Here is a 15,792-nt window from a genome sequence, read left to right on the forward strand (position 1 = left end):
CCAATGAGGATGCTTTGCTGAATTATTTCCCCTACCATGAGATCCCCTAAAACACTGACGTAGGAAGCTAATATTGAGCTCTTGGTGCTCAAAAAAAAAAAAAAAAAAAAAGTGTGTAGGCCAGGCACAGTGGCTCATGTCTGTAACCCCAGTGTTTTGGGAGGTCGAGGCAGGAGGATCGCTTGAGATCAGGAGTTTGAGAACAGCTTGGGCAGCAAAGTGAGACCCCATCTCTATAAAAAATACAAAACTTAGCTGGGTATGGTGGCATGCACCTGTGGGCCTAGCTACTCAGGAGGCTGGGGAGGAAGGGTTGCTTGAGCCCAGGAGTTCGAGGCTGCACCGAGCTATGATCAAACCACTGCACTCCAGCCTGGGTGACAGAGCAAGACCATGCGTCTGAAAAAAAAAATTTTAAGTGTGTAACCCAATGTTGACTATTTCAGGGTGCTCAGACCATTTAATAACCCAATGGATAAATCAGAACTAAAAGGAAACATATCAAGAGAAAATAGTGTTACTGCAAACATGATTACACCAGGGGCTCACTCATCCTGTCTATCTTCCCCAGCTCTTCCCTCTGCCTAGAACATCCTCCTGTTCCTTCTACCTACTGAAGGAGTCCTTCAGAATCCAGCTCAAATGTCCTGTCCTTAGCTAAGCCTTCCCCAACTCCCTCAAAGCAGCTGCTCTGAGCTTCCCCAACACTACCACACTGGACTGGGATGTATCTGTTTCCATCAACATGTCCCTTTCTAGACTATGAGCTCCTCATAGGCAGAAACACTTATTCATTGTGGTATCCTTAGTATCCATGAGTTCTAGGATCTCAATAGACATGTCTGGAAGGCAGGAAGGCAGGAGGCTAAAAAGAACTAATCATAAAATTCTATTTCTGTGTTGCTAGTCACTAGCACTGACAAGTCTTTTATTCCCCCCCGCCCCCCACCCCACCACCTTCTGGCAGAGGGAGCTTTTTCCTTTTTTTTTTTTTTTTTTTGTAGCAAGTTTCAGGGCTAAAGAATTGACTTAGTACTAACCATAAACAACTATAGTAGATGAGGCTTGTCTTATTCAACCATTCAAGTCAATGGACAAGTTTTATTCTTTGGAAATTGTTACCAATTATATATTATTAAGTTGTAAAATCAGGGTCAGACAGGTGAAAAAAATGAATAGTTTTAAGATTTACACAGACTTATTGTTATTCCTTCAACTGCCAATAACATTCATTATATGACCAAATGATGATTAAAAATAAGATTCCATTATCACTTTATGTACACATACCTCTCAATGCAGCCATTTTGTTCGGGTCGAGGGATTGGCTGTCTTTCAAATGGATATCCACTGAGCTGCTAATCAGGATTTCCTTGGAGAACAAAATACGAACCAAGTAGCAGGCTGCTTGCTTAGGTTTGGCCATATTTTGTACGGCCAGCAAATGGATTTTAAGTACTCTGACATTTCTTTTTGGATCACCAAGATAGCCTTTAAAAATAAAGAGAAAAAGGAACATCCTTGGTTTTGTCATGCAAGGGTACCCTCAAAGTACACAAGAGAATTACACTGATTTATTTCTTCTTTTTCTTCAAATAAGGCAAATGCAGATAAATGATTTCTAATTCATGAATTTCTACTTGGGTGAATTTTTTTTCTATGCTTATCTCTTCCTCTTCCTTAAATGGGTCTCTTTGCCACCATCTGCCAAACTGTCAACATTCTTCACTTCTACTGGTCTTGAGCTTGCTGTATTGAACTACTCTGTTCATTAGCTTGAACACATGTCATTGTTAGGCTGCAGGTGCATATGTAAACATGTTGCCCTGAGTTCCCACTGCTCCATTTCACGCTCTAAGAGTACACTCAGAGCCATTCCACTGGGCAAGTGGATGTTCCCTGAAGACAATGTTGAAAGCGTGGGTGGGGATCATTAAGAAAATTTTCAAATAGCTAGCATTTATCAGTAGTTCCTGTATATCAGGCATGTGCTAAATATTTTACATCTGTGCACTAGCTCAGTTTCATCATTCTAACAACTCTATCATTACTCCCACCCCATTATTCCCACCCCATTATTTCCAAATAAGGAGACTGAGGCCCAAAGGAGATAAGTTATTTGAAAAGGTCACACTGCTAGTTACAGAACCAGTTTTAAAATCTGTCTGTTTATGAGTTAACTGCTCTAAACCATGAATCTTCTACTAATATCTTCCATTCTTTTTCCTATTTATTTTTTTAAAAGACAAAATTGAAATCATACTTTAAGTATAGTTTAAATCCTGCTTTTTCAGTTAACATTATATTTTGAGCATTTCTCTGTTTTCATCTTTTTTTTTTAATCTGCATTCCTGTCATCATAATTTTCCTGACAAGTGACATTTATGTTGTACTTACATCCCAGGCATTGTGTTAAGAGCTTTAAATGCATTGTCCAATTTGATCCTCACAATTCTATGAAGTAGACACTATTATTTTTGTCACTTCACAACTGAATAAACTAGTATTTAGGTTAGGAAAGTGGCTGAAGGTCATAAGGTTAGTAAGAGCTGGGATTTGAAATCAAGCAGGCAGACATGAGAGCTCATGCCCTCAACCATTAGGCTTTACTGCCTCACATGCTGTGGATACACCAGAAGTCAAGTGATTAATTCCCTATCATCATTTATTTTTGTTTGTTTGCTTCCAATTTTTCCCAATCATTCTGTAAAGGACATTCTAGACCAAAATTTTTATGTAATTTTTATTATACTTTCAGATAAAGTGAGATTACAGTCAACTGCCATAAATGTTTTTATGGATTTCTCTACAAACTATCTTTCAGAAAGTTTGTACCAATGTATATTTCTAACAATGTATCAGAGTGCCCATTTCAGTACAGAGAATCAACTTTTGTTTCTGTTTTTTTTTTTTTTTTTTTTTTTGGCTGGAGTATAGTGGCATGATCATGGCTCACTATAGCCTCAAACTTCCGGGCTGCTCAAGTGATCCTCCCACCTCAGCCTCCCAAGTAGCTGGGATTACAGGCACATGCCACCACGCCTGGCTAATTTTTTGTATTTTTTGTAGAGATGGGGTTTTGCTATGTTGCCCATGCTGGTCTCAAACTCTTGGGCTCAAGCGATTTTCCCACCTCAGCCTCCCAGATTGCTGGGATTAACAAGCCTGAGCCACCGTGCCCAGCCGAGACCACAATTCTTGAAATTTCTTCTAGTTTGAGTAACAAAATAGTTTAAAGGAATAAGCTCTCCTCTAGGAAGGGAGTCAACAAACTGCAGTCCACTGGCCCATCCCCCCACCAATGTGTGTGAAAGGTGTGCTGGCCATGGCCACGCCTATTCATTCGTCTATGGGCTGAGGCTGCTCTTATCTTACAACAGCAAAGGTGGGTATTTGTGACAGACAATACTATCTAGCCCTTCACAGAAAAGGTTTCCTGATCCTTGTTCTAGGATATTAATAAGAGATAAGCTGCTTAGAAGTTGAGACAAAAATGAACTGACTATAAAATATTTGGAAGGCTTACCCTTAGAAGCCACAGAGCTTGGGGTCCCCTCATCTCTGCCACTGTGGCTTGGCAGGCAGTACAGTGGACTGGTAAGAAACATGAGCTTTAGGCCAGTTACGGTGGCTCATGCCTGTAATCCTAGCACTTTGGGAGGCCGAGGCAGATGGATCACTTGAGGCTAGGAGTTTGATAACAGCCTGGCCAAAATGGCCAAACCCCATCTCTACTAAAAATACAAAAACTAGCTGGGTGTGGTGGTGTGTGCTTGTAATTCCAGCTACTTGGGAGGCTAAGGCAGAAGAATCACTTGAACCTGGGAGGTGGAGGTTGCAGTGAGCCAAGATCATGCCACTGCACTCCAGCCTGGGCAATAGAGCAAGACTCCACTTCAAAAAGAAAAAAGACACATGAGTTTTAAAGTCAGAGAAAGCTGGGGCAGAGCTCAAGTCCTACTCACCAGCTCTGTGACCTTGGGGATGGGGATAATAAAAGTGCCAACACCATGGAGTCATTATGGGTATAAGTGAAGAAGAGGCATGTTAATTGTTTAGCACAGTGCCTTGCACGTAATATGCACTCAATAAATGTTAGTCATGGTTCTGAATATCACCTAAAACCTATCCTCAAAATAGGAAACACAGAGCTTTCACTGTCTTGCATCAAGGAAGTGGAAGAATGTAGCTCAAATAGTGCCACTTATAATGTGTGTTATTTCAAACTCACCATACTTGGGAGGGATACAGACAGATGATGAGGAAGAATCCTGGCCACTGTCACTGTCCAATAAAGTTGAGCGATTCATTGTGTTGACGCTGTTTTCCGTGTTGGTGTCTACTTTTACCAAAATATTCAGAGGTAACAGTGCTGAAAGAAAAGAACTCTCAACTGACAATTCTATATCCAGCAAAACTGTTTTTCAGGTACAGAGGGGAAATACACTCTCAGACAAAAGAAAACTAAAAAGATTTGTTGCCAGCAGACCTACTCTTTTTTTTTTTCTTTCTTTCTTTTTTTTTTAGACTATGTTGCCCAAGCTGGAGTGCAATGGCATGATCTTGGCTTACTACAACCTCTGCCCACTGGGTTCAAGCAATTCTCATGCCTTAGCCTTCCGAGTAGCTGGAATTACACGCACCCACCACCATACCTGGCTAATTTTTCTATTTTTAATAGACATGGGGTTTCGCCATGTTGGCCAGGCTGGTCTTGAATTCCTGACCTCAAGTGATCTGCCTGCCTCAGCCTCCCAAAATGCTGGAGACCTACTCTTAAAGAATGGCTAAAAGAAGATCTTCAAACAGAAAGATTATGATGATAGAAGGAACAGTGGCACATCAGAAAGGAAGAAAGAATAGAAAGATGCATGTGGAGAAATGGAACAGCCACACTGGAAAACAATTACTACATTTGTAATTACAATTACTATCATTGTAATTATTATTATAATTTAAAATGAGGTAATTAATTGCAGGGGTTTTTTTAGGGTTAAGCACCTAAGAGTGAAATTGCTGGAAATTTCACTCTTAGGTATTTATCCCAGAGAAATGAGAGCTCATGTTGACATGAAAACCTTCACATGAGTATCCTTAGCAGCTTTATTTGTGATAGCCAAAACCTGAAAACAATCCAAGTGTCCTTCAAGAGGTGAATGGTTAAAGGAACTGTGGTAAATCCATACCACAGAATACTATTCAGCAATAAAAATGAAGAAGAGAAAGAGCAGAAAGAAAGGCGATACAAAACCATCATGAGTTCTCTAAATCATATGGAATGACTGAAACAAAAATGAAAACACCATCTGATACCTATAACAATGATATTTAAAGGTGGGGAGAAAAACGAAACCTAAGTGGAATTAAAGTTTCAACACTTCATTCCAAATGGTAAAATGCTGATTCCAACAGGCAGTGATAAGTCACATACGTATACAGTAACACTCAGAGCAACCACTAGGAAAACTGCACAAATCAATATACTCAAAAACAAACAAATCAAGATGGAATACTTAAAATGTTCAAGTAACTCACAGGAAGGCAAGAAAAAGAAAAGGAGAATGAGAAACAGAAGATAAACAGAAAAATAATAAAATGGAAGACTTAAACCCTGTATCAATAATTACGTTAAATGTAAATGATCTAAACATACCAATTAAGTGGCAGCAATTGACCAAGTAGATAAAAAACAAGACCCTCGATTGCCAGGTAGTGTAAATGAAAAGAAAAACAAGACCCAACTATATGCTCTTTATTAGAAACTCTACAAATTCAATAACATAAGTAGATTAAAAGTAAAAGAATGAAAAATATATACCATGTGATATGGTTTGGATTTGTATCCCTGCCTAAACTTCATGTCAAATTGGAGGAGGGGCCTGGTGGGAGGTGACTGGATAATGTGCACAGATTTCCCCCTTGCTGGTCTCATGAGAGTGAGTGACTTCTCATGAGATCTGATGGTTTAAAAGTGTGGCACTTCCCCCTTTGGTCTCTCCTGCCACCATGTGAAGAAGGTGCTTGCTTCCCCTTCACCTTCTGCCATGACTTTAAGTTTCCTGAGATCTCCCAGTCATGCTTCCTGTTAAGGCTGTGGAACTCTGAGTCAATTAAACATCGTTTCTTCATAAATTTCTCAGTCTCAGGTACTTCTTTATAGCAGTATGAAAATGGACTAATGCACCATGCAAATATTAATCCAAAAAAAAGAAAGCAGAGTGGCTATATTGATATCAGATAAAATAAACAGACTTCAGAGCAAAGAAAGTTACCAGAGACAAATAAGAACACTACATAACAATAAAAGGGTTAACCCCCAGGAAAATATAATGATCCTCAATATGTTCACACCAATCAAAAGTGTCTCAAAATACATAAAGCAAAAACTGAAAGAGTAGAAAGGCAAAATAGACAAACCCACAATTATATTGAGGACCTCAGCACCCACCTCTCAGCAACTGACAGGACAACCTTACAGAGGCCGGGCACGGGGGGCTTATGCCTGTAATCCCAGCACTTTGGGAGGCTGAGATGGGCAGATCATCTGGAGATCAGGAGTTAGAGACCAGCCTGGCCAACATGGTGAAACCCCGTCTCTACTAAAAATACAAAAATTAGCCAGGCGTGGTAGTACACGCCTATAGTTCCAGCTACTCAGGAGGCTGAGGTGCGAGAATCACTTGAACCCAGAAGGCAGGGGTTGCAGTGAGGCAAGATCATGCCATTGCACTCCAGCCTGGGTGACAGAGCGAGACTCTGTCTCCAAAAAAAAAAAAAAAAAAAAAAAAGAACAACCAGACAGAACATCAGCAAGGACAGAGAAGACCTGAGTAACACACAACCAACCAACAGGATTTTCATTATAGAACATTCCATCTAATAAAAGCAGAATATACATTTTTTTTCAAATGCCTATGGACCATTCACCAAGACAGACCACAGCCTGAGCCAAAGGAAAAAACCTCAATAAATATAAAAGAATTGAAATCATATAGAGTATATTTTCTGACCACAGTGGAACCAAACTAGAAATCAATAACAGACAAGAGAAAAATCTATAAACACTTGGAAATTAAACAGCAAACTCCTAAATAATCCACACGTCAAAAAGAAGTCTCCAAGGAAATTTTAAAACACACAGGACACAGCTTCGGAGCTAGATGGCTAAATAGAAGCCTCCACTGATTGTTCTCAAGAACACCAAATTTAACAACTATCTACACAAAAAAGCACCTTAATAAGAAATCCAAAATCAGCTTAGGTCCCAGCTTGGCCACAGTGGGGTAGGGTACAAAGTGGGCTCTTGGGGTCCCTGATTCCAGGCCTTGGCTCTTAGATGGCATTTCTGGGCCTGCCCTGGGCCAGAGGGGAGCCCACTGCCCTGAAGAGTGAGTCCCAGGCCTGGCAGCATTCACCGTAAGCTGAGTGAACAGCAGTGGTGGCCTGGAGGTACCCATTGTGGGCCTGCGGCAGTGGTGGCCACAAGGAGAGACTTCTCTGCTTGTAGAAACGGGAGGGAAGAGTGGGAAGGACTTTGTCTTGTGGCTTGGGTGCCAGCTCAGCAGAATAGAGCACCAGGTAGATTCCTGAGGTCTCCAGCTCCAGGCCCTGGTTTCTGATTGGCATCTCTGGACCTGCCCAAGGCTGGGGGGAACTCACCACCCTGAAGGGAAGGACACAAGCCTGGCTGGCTTCACCACCTACTGATTGTAGAGGCTGAGGGCCTTGAGCAAACACACGCTGTAGCCAGGTAGCGGTTACAGCGAGCCTTGGGCAAGACTCAGGGCTCTGCTGGCTTCAGGTCTGACCCAGCACAGTCCCAGTGGTGGTGTCCACAGGGGTGTTTGTGTCACCCCTTCCCCAGCTCCATGCAGCTCACCATAGACAGAGACTCCTTTGTTTGGGGGGACGTAAGGGAAGAGCCCAGGCGCAGTGGCTCATTCCTGTAATCCCAGCACTTTGGGAGGCTGAGGCGGGCAGATCACCTGAGGTCAGGAGTTCGAGACCAGCCTGGCCAACATGATGAAACCCCATCTCTACTAAAAATACAAAAATTAGCCGGGCATGGTGATGCACACCTGTAATCTCAGCTACTTGGGAGGCTGAGGCAGGAGAATCTCTTGAGCCCGGGAGGTGGAGATTGCAGTGAGCAGAGATCACACCACTGCACTCCAGCCTGGGCAACAGAATGAGACTCCGTCTCAAAAAAAGAACAAGAGTCTCTGCCTGGTAATCCAGAGAATTCTTCTGGATCTTAACCTAGATCACCAAGGCGGCACCTCTACAAGTCTTCAAGAGCCACTGCATTACTGGACTTGGGGTGTCCCCTGATGCAGACATGGCTTCAGTGACCAGAAACTTAGATCACAACACCCAAGTCCCTTTGAATACCTGGAAAGCCTTTCCAAGAAGGATGGCACAAGTAAGCCCAGACAGCAAAGACAACAATAAATATCTAACTCTTCAATGCCCAGACAGACGAACATCCACAAGCATCAACTCCATCCAGGAAAACATGACCTCACCAAACGAATGAAATAAGGCACCAGGGACCAATCCCAGAGAAACAGAGATATCTGACCTTTCCAACACAGATTTCAAAATAGATGTTTTGAGGAAACTCAAAGAAATTCAAGATAACACAAAGAAGGAATTCATAATTCTATCAGATAAATTTAACAAAGAGATTGAAATAAAAAGTATCAAGCAGAAATTCTGGAGTTGAAAAATGCGGTTGACATACTGAAGAATGCATCAGGGTCTCTTAATAGCAGAACTGATCAAGCAGAAGAAAGAATTAGTGAGCTTGAAGACAGGCTATTTGAAAATACAAAAAAGACAAAAGAAAAAAGAATGAAGCATGTCTACAAGATCTAGAAAACAGCCTCAAAATGGCAAATCTAAGAGTTATTGGCCTTAAAGAGGACATCGAGAGAAAGATGGGGTAGAAAGTTTATTCAGAAAGATTGGCTGGGTGCAGTGGCTCATGCCTGCAATCCTAACACTTTGGGGGGCCAAGGCAGGCAGACTGCCTGAGCTCAGGAGTTCAAGACCAGCCTGAGCAACGTGACGAACCCCCATTTCTACTAAAAAATACAAAAAATTAGCCAGGCATGGTGGCGCGTGCCTATAATCCCAGCTACTTAGAAGGCTGAGGCACGAGAATCACTTGAACCCGGGAGGTGGAAGTTGCAGTGAGCTGAGATCACGCCACTGCACTCCAGCCTAGGTGACAGAGCGAGACTCAGTCGCAAAAATAATAATAATAATAATAATAATAATAATAATAATAATAATAACAGACAACTTTCCAAACTTAGAGCAAGAATATCCAAGTACAAGGTTATAGAACACCAAGCAGATTTCACCCAAAGAAGACTACCTCAAGACATTTAATAATCAAACTCTCAAAGGGCAAGGATTACAAAAGGATCCTAAAAGCAGTAAGAGAAAAGAAACAAACAACATACAAAGACCTCCAATACGACGGGCAGCAGACTTTTCAGTGGAAATCTTGCAGGCCAGGAGAGAGTTCCATGACATATTTAAAGTGCTGAAGGAAAAAAATTTTATCCTAGAATAGTATATCTGGTGAAAATATCCTTCAAACATGAAGGAGAAATAAAGACTTTCCCAGACAAACAAAAGCTGACAGATTTCATCAACACCAGACCTATGCTATAAGAAATGCTAAAGAGACTTCTTCAATCTGAAAGAAAAAGACATTAATTACCAATAACAGATCATCTGAAGGTATAAAACTTACTGGTAATAACAACACACAGAGTATTATAACACTGTAATTGTGCTGTATAAAATACTCTTAAGTAGAAAGTCTAAATGATGACCCAATCAAAAATAATAACTACAACAACTTTTCAAGACATAGACAGTACAGGCCAGGTGCAGTGGTTGACACCTGTAATCCCAGCATTTTGGGAGGCCGAGGCAGGCAGAGCATCTGAGGTCAGGAGTTTGACACCAGCCTGGCCAACATGGTGAAACCCCGACTCCACTAAAAATACAAAAAGTAGCCAGGCGTGGTGGCGGGTGCCAGTAATCCCTGCTACTCAGGAGGCTGGGGCAGGAGAATTGCTTGAACCCAGGAGGCAGAGGTTGCAGTGAGCCGAGATTGCGCCATTGCACTCCAGCCTGGGTGAAAAGAAGGAAACTCCGTCGGAAAAAAAAAAAAAAAAAAAGACATAGTACAATAAGACATAAAGAGAAACAAAAAGTTAAAAAGGGAAATTAAGTTAAAGTGTAGAGTTTTCATTAGTTTTCTTTTTGCTTGTTGGTTGGTTTGTGCAATCAGTGTTAAGTTGTCATTAGTTTACAATAATGGGTTATAAGACAGTATTTGCAAACCTCATGGTAACCTCAAAGCAAACAACATACAATGGGGCTGGGCATGGTGGTTTATGCCTGTAATTCCAGCACTTTGGGAGGCCGAGGTGGGAGGATCACTTGAGCCTAGGAGTTCAAGAAAAGTTCAGCCTAGGAAACATGGCGAAACCCTATCACTACAAAAAATACAAAAAGTTTTCCGGGTATGGGGACACGTGCCTGTAGTCCAAGCTACTTTGGAGGCTGAGGTGGGAAGATCGCTTGAGCCTGGGAAGTCAAGGGTACAGTGAGCCAAGATCGTACCACTGCACTCCCGCCTGGGCAACAGAGCAAGACCCTGTCTGGAAAAAAAAAAAAAAAGATACGATGGACACACACACACAAAAACAAGAAATTAAATCATGCCACCAGAAAAAATTACCTTCACTAAAAGGAAGACAGGAAGGAAGGAAAGAAGGAAGGAAGAGAAGACCGAAAAACAACCAGAGAACAAATAACAAAATCGCAGGAAAAAGTCCCAACTTACCAATAAAAAAAATTGAATGTAAATGGACTAAACTCTCCAATCAAAAGATAGAGTGGCTGAATGGATAAAAAAGCAAGAAACAATGATCTGTTGTGTACAAGAAGCACACTTCACCTGTAAAGATACGCTGAAAATAAAGGGATGGAAAAAGATATTCCATGCCAATGGAAACCAAAAAAGAGTAGGAGTAGCTGTACTTATATCAAACAAAATAGATTTCAAGACAAAAAACTGCAAGAAGAGACAAAGGAGACCATCACATAATGATTAAGGGGTCAATTCAGCAAAAGGATATAACAATTGTAAATCTCTATGCACCCAACACTGGTGTACCCACATATATAAAGCAAATATTATTAGAGCTAAAGAGAGAGATAGGCCACAATACTAATAGCCAGAGACTTCAACACCTCACTTTCAGCATTGGACAGATCATTCAGACAGAATATTAACAAAGAAAGATCAGATTTAATCTGTACTATAGACCAAATGGGTCTAATAGATATGAACATTTCACGGATATATTAAATGTATATTCTGCAGCTGTTCTGCAAATACCTATTAATATTTCTTCTCAGCACAAGAATCATTCTCAAGGATTGACCATATGTTAAGTCACAAAATAAGTCTGAAAATATTCAAAAGAATTGAAAATTATTCAATTTCAAGCATCTTCTCTGACTACAATGGAATAAAGCCAGAAATCAGTAATGAGGAATTTGGGAAACTATACATGAAAATTAAATAATATGTTCTTAAATGATCAGTGGGCAATGGTAAATGAATGGTCAATGAAGAAATTAAGAGGGAAATTGAAAAAAAAATCTTGAAACAAATGGTAATGGAAACACAACATACCAAAACCTATGGGATAGAGCAAAAGCAGTAGTAAGAGAGAAATTTATAGCTATAAGTGCCTACATCAAAAAAGAAGAAAAACTTCAAATAAATAACCTAATGATGTATCTTAAAGAACTAGGGAAGGAAGAGCAAACCATACCCAGAATTAGTAGAAGAAAATAATAATAAAGATCAGAGCAGAAGCAAAAGAATTTAAAATGAAGAAAACAATACAAAAAATGAAATGAAAGAAAAGGTTGCTTTTCTGAAAAGACAGATAAAATTGGCAAACCTTTAAGCCAGACTAACTAAGAAAAAGAGACAGTGATGACGAGCATTTTTTCATGTGTCTGTTGGTTGTGCACATGTACCCTAGAACTTAAAGTATAATAAAAAAAAAGAAAAAGAAAAAGAGACAAAATCCAAATAAATAAAACCAGAGATTAAAAAGGAGACATTACAACTGATACCGCAGAAATTCAAAGGGATCATTAGTGGCTACCATGAGTAACTGCATGCCAACAAACTGGAAAATCTAGAGGAAATGTATAAATTCCTAGACACATAACACCTACCAAGTTTGAACCGTGAAGGAATCCAAAACCTGAACAGATAAATAACAAGTAATGAGACTGAAGCCATAATAGAATTCTCCCAGTAAAGAAAAGCTCAAGACCCAAAGGCTTCACTGCTGAATTCTACCAAATATTTAAAGAATTAATACCAATCCTACTCAAACTATTCCCAAAAATAGAGGAGGAAGGAATACTTCAAAATTCATTATACGAGGTCAGTATTACCCTGATACCAAAGCTAGACAAAGACACATCAAAAAAAGAAAACCACAGGCCAATATCTCTGATAAATACTGATGCAAAAACCCTCAACAAAATACTAGGAAATAGAATTCAACAATACATTAAAAAGATCAGCCGGGTGCAGTGGCTCACGCCTGTAATCCCAGCACTTTGGGAGGCCGAGGCGGGTGGATTACGAGGTCAGGAGTTCGAGACCAGCCTGGCCAGCACGGTGAAACCCCATCTCTACTAAAAATACAGAAAATTGGCCAGGCATGGTGGCGCATGCCTGTAGTCCCAGCTACTCAGGAGGCTGAGGTAGAAGAATTACCTGAACCTGGCAGGCAGAGGTTGCAGTGGGCCAAGATTGTGCCACTGCACTCCAGCCTGGGCGACAGAAAGAGAATCCATCTCAAAAAAAAAAAAAAAAAATCATTCATGGATGGCCATGGGGTCTCATGCCTGCAATCCTAGTACTTTGGGAGGCCAAGGCGGGAAGACTGCTTGAGCCCAGGAGATTGAGACCAGCCTGAGCAATACAACAAGATTTTGTCTCTACAAAAAAAATTTAAAAATTAGCCAGGCATGGTTGTCCATCCCTGTAGTCCCAGCTACTTGGGAGGCTGAGTTGGGAGGATCTTTTGAGCCTGAGGGGGTCGAGGCAGCAGTGAGCCATGATCATGCCACTGCACTACAGTCTGGGTGACAGAGACTGTCTCAAAACGAGCATTCATCATGACCAAGTGGGATTTATCCCAGGGATTCAAGGATGGTTCAACATACACAAATTAATCAATGTGATATGTCATATGAACAGAATGAAGGACAAAAATTGTATGATCATTTCAATTAAGTAACTCTCAAAATGTAAGCATAAAAAAGCAAACATTACTATAAGACAAGAATAGATATTTCAAAGAGGATATGCAGATAGAAAATTAGCACATGAAGAGCCATACATCATTTCGAAAGGCCAATGCATATTAAACCCTCAATGAAATATTACCATATACCTATCAGAATGGCTAAGTGCTGGGCAGATCATGAGGTCAGGAGATCGAGACCATCCTGGCTAACATGGTGAAACCCAGTCTCTACTAAAAAAATACAAAAAATTAGCCGAGCATGGTGGCACATGCCTGTAGTCCCAGCTACTCGGGAGGCTGAGGCAGGAGAATCGCTTGAACCCAGGAGACAGAGGTTGCAGTGAGCCGAGATTGCACCACTGCACTCCAGCCTGGGTGACAGACCGAGACTCTATCTCAAAAAAAAAAAAAAGCGAACATACAAAATGCTGGTAAGAACGCAGAGAAACTGAATCACTCATACACTGCTGATGGGAATGTAAAATGGCACAGCCACTCTGGAAATAGTTGACGGTTTCTTATAAAACTACACATGCAATTAATATACCACCCAGCAGTTAATTGCACTCTTCGGCATTTATCACAGAAAAATGAAAAACGTTATGTTCACACAAAAACCTGTACTCTGGTTGTCATAGCTGCTTTATTTGTAATAGCCAAAAACAACAATCTAGATGTCCTTCAGTGGGTGACAAACCATGATAAATCCATACCATGAAATAGTACTCAGCAATAAACAGGAAGGAATTTCTGATATACACAAAAACTTGTATAAATCTCCAGGGAATTATGCTATGTGGAAAAAAAGCAATCTCAAAAGGTTAAATGGTATATCAGTCCATTTATCAGTCCAATGGTATATCAGTCCATTCTTACAATGACAAAATTATAAAAAGGGAGAACATACTAGTAGTTGTATGGAATAAAGATGAGGCCAGGCAGGGAATGACATGAAGGAGTAGATATGGTTATAAAAAGTCAGTAAGAGAGTTCCTGGAAGTCATGGGACAGTCTGTATCATGACTAGATACAGTTAGGTTTATTTATGACTGAAAGTAGATGTCATAAAATTCCAGACAACTAAATATACTCTCTCTCTCTCTCTCTCTCTCTCTCACACACACACACACACACACACACTCACACACAAATGAATACATGAAAAGCAGAGGACATCTGAGTAGATCTGGTGATTGCATCAATGTCAAAATCCTAGTTGTGATATTTTACTATATTTTTGTAAAATAGTACTATTGGGGGAAACTGGGTAAAGGTACACAAGATCTCTCTGTATTCTTTCAATCTAGATTAAAGAGTGCTACTTGTAACATATATCATTTCAAACTCACCAAAATCGGGAGTGAGGCAGGCAGATGCTGAAGCATCATCTTGGTCACAGTTATTTTTCATTTCAGTTGAGTAACTCATTGTCCCATAACTCATTTGTGGGCCAGATTCTGTTTTGAACAACATTTCAATATGTAAAACATTTTGCAGTGCTGAAAGACAAGAAATCTCAACCATGTTTTTTAGATCAGGTGAAACTATCCTTCAGGAATAAAAGAAAAATAAAGACATTCTCAGACAAAGAAAAACTTTAAAAAACGGTGACTGGCTGACTTACCCTTAAAGAACAACTAAAGGAGATCTTCAAACTGAAAGGATATGATGAAGGAAGGAATCTTGCACCGTCACGAAGGAAGAAAGAACAACAGAAAGAGCAGAAATATGGGCGTGGAGAAACTAGGTCACTCACATGTTGCTGGTCGGGGTAGAAAATGGTACAGACACTCTGGAAAACAACTTGGCAGTATTTTATAAAACTAAACATACCATTACCATAGGACCCAGCAACAGCACTCTTGGGCAGTATCTCAGAGAAATGAAAGCTTGTGTTCACACAAAGCCTATATGGTATATGAGTGTTCATAGCAGCTTTACTTCTAATAGCCAAAACCAGGAAACAACCTAGATGTCTTTCAATGCCTGAAAAGATAAACAAACCACGGTACATCTACACCATGGAATAGCACTCAGCAATAAAAAAGAAGGAACCATTTGGGGGCTTGCCTGTGGTAGAGGATACATGAACCTAAACATATGATAAAAATTGAACTAAAACACACACATACACATGCACACAAATAAATACAAGTAAAACTGGGGACATCTCAATAATATCTGTAGAAGGTATCACGTCAACACCCTGTTTGTGATAATTTCTTATAGTTTTGCAAGATGTTACTGTTGGGAAAAGTGGTAATGGAAACACATATTTCTCTGTATTATTTATTATAACTGCATGTGTAGCTAAATTTTTCTGAAAATAAAAACTTTAATTGGAAAAAGCTACCAATATCTTGCACTACGGATGCTAATGAATCTAGATTAAATAGTGCTACATATAGCAAGTATCATT

The 15,792-nt window shown here is 40.2% G+C and overlaps 1 protein-coding gene across 5 annotated transcripts in view; it reads right to left on the minus strand.

Annotated features, from left to right (window-relative positions):
- The window catches only part of BEND2 (BEN domain containing 2), a 57,956-nt gene that overhangs the window by 13,348 nt on the left and 28,816 nt on the right, over positions 1-15,792 (minus strand). For 3 of the 5 annotated variants that reach the window (XM_017029266.2, XM_011545447.2, XM_017029267.2), the window contains 3 exons: positions 14,723-14,872; positions 4,232-4,372; positions 1,291-1,491 (listed from right to left, as the gene is read on the minus strand). In XM_017029266.2, coding sequence (XP_016884755.1) covers positions 1,291-1,491; positions 4,232-4,372; positions 14,723-14,872 — 492 coding nt within the window. The remainder of the gene's footprint in view (positions 1-1,290; positions 1,492-4,231; positions 4,373-14,722; positions 14,873-15,792) is intronic. The other 2 variants (NM_153346.5, NM_001184767.2) reach the window with 1 other exon arrangement.

The sequence above is a fragment of the Homo sapiens genome, chromosome X (genome assembly GCF_000001405.40).
Source record: "Homo sapiens chromosome X, GRCh38.p14 Primary Assembly".
Lineage (NCBI taxonomy): Eukaryota > Metazoa > Chordata > Mammalia > Primates > Hominidae > Homo > Homo sapiens.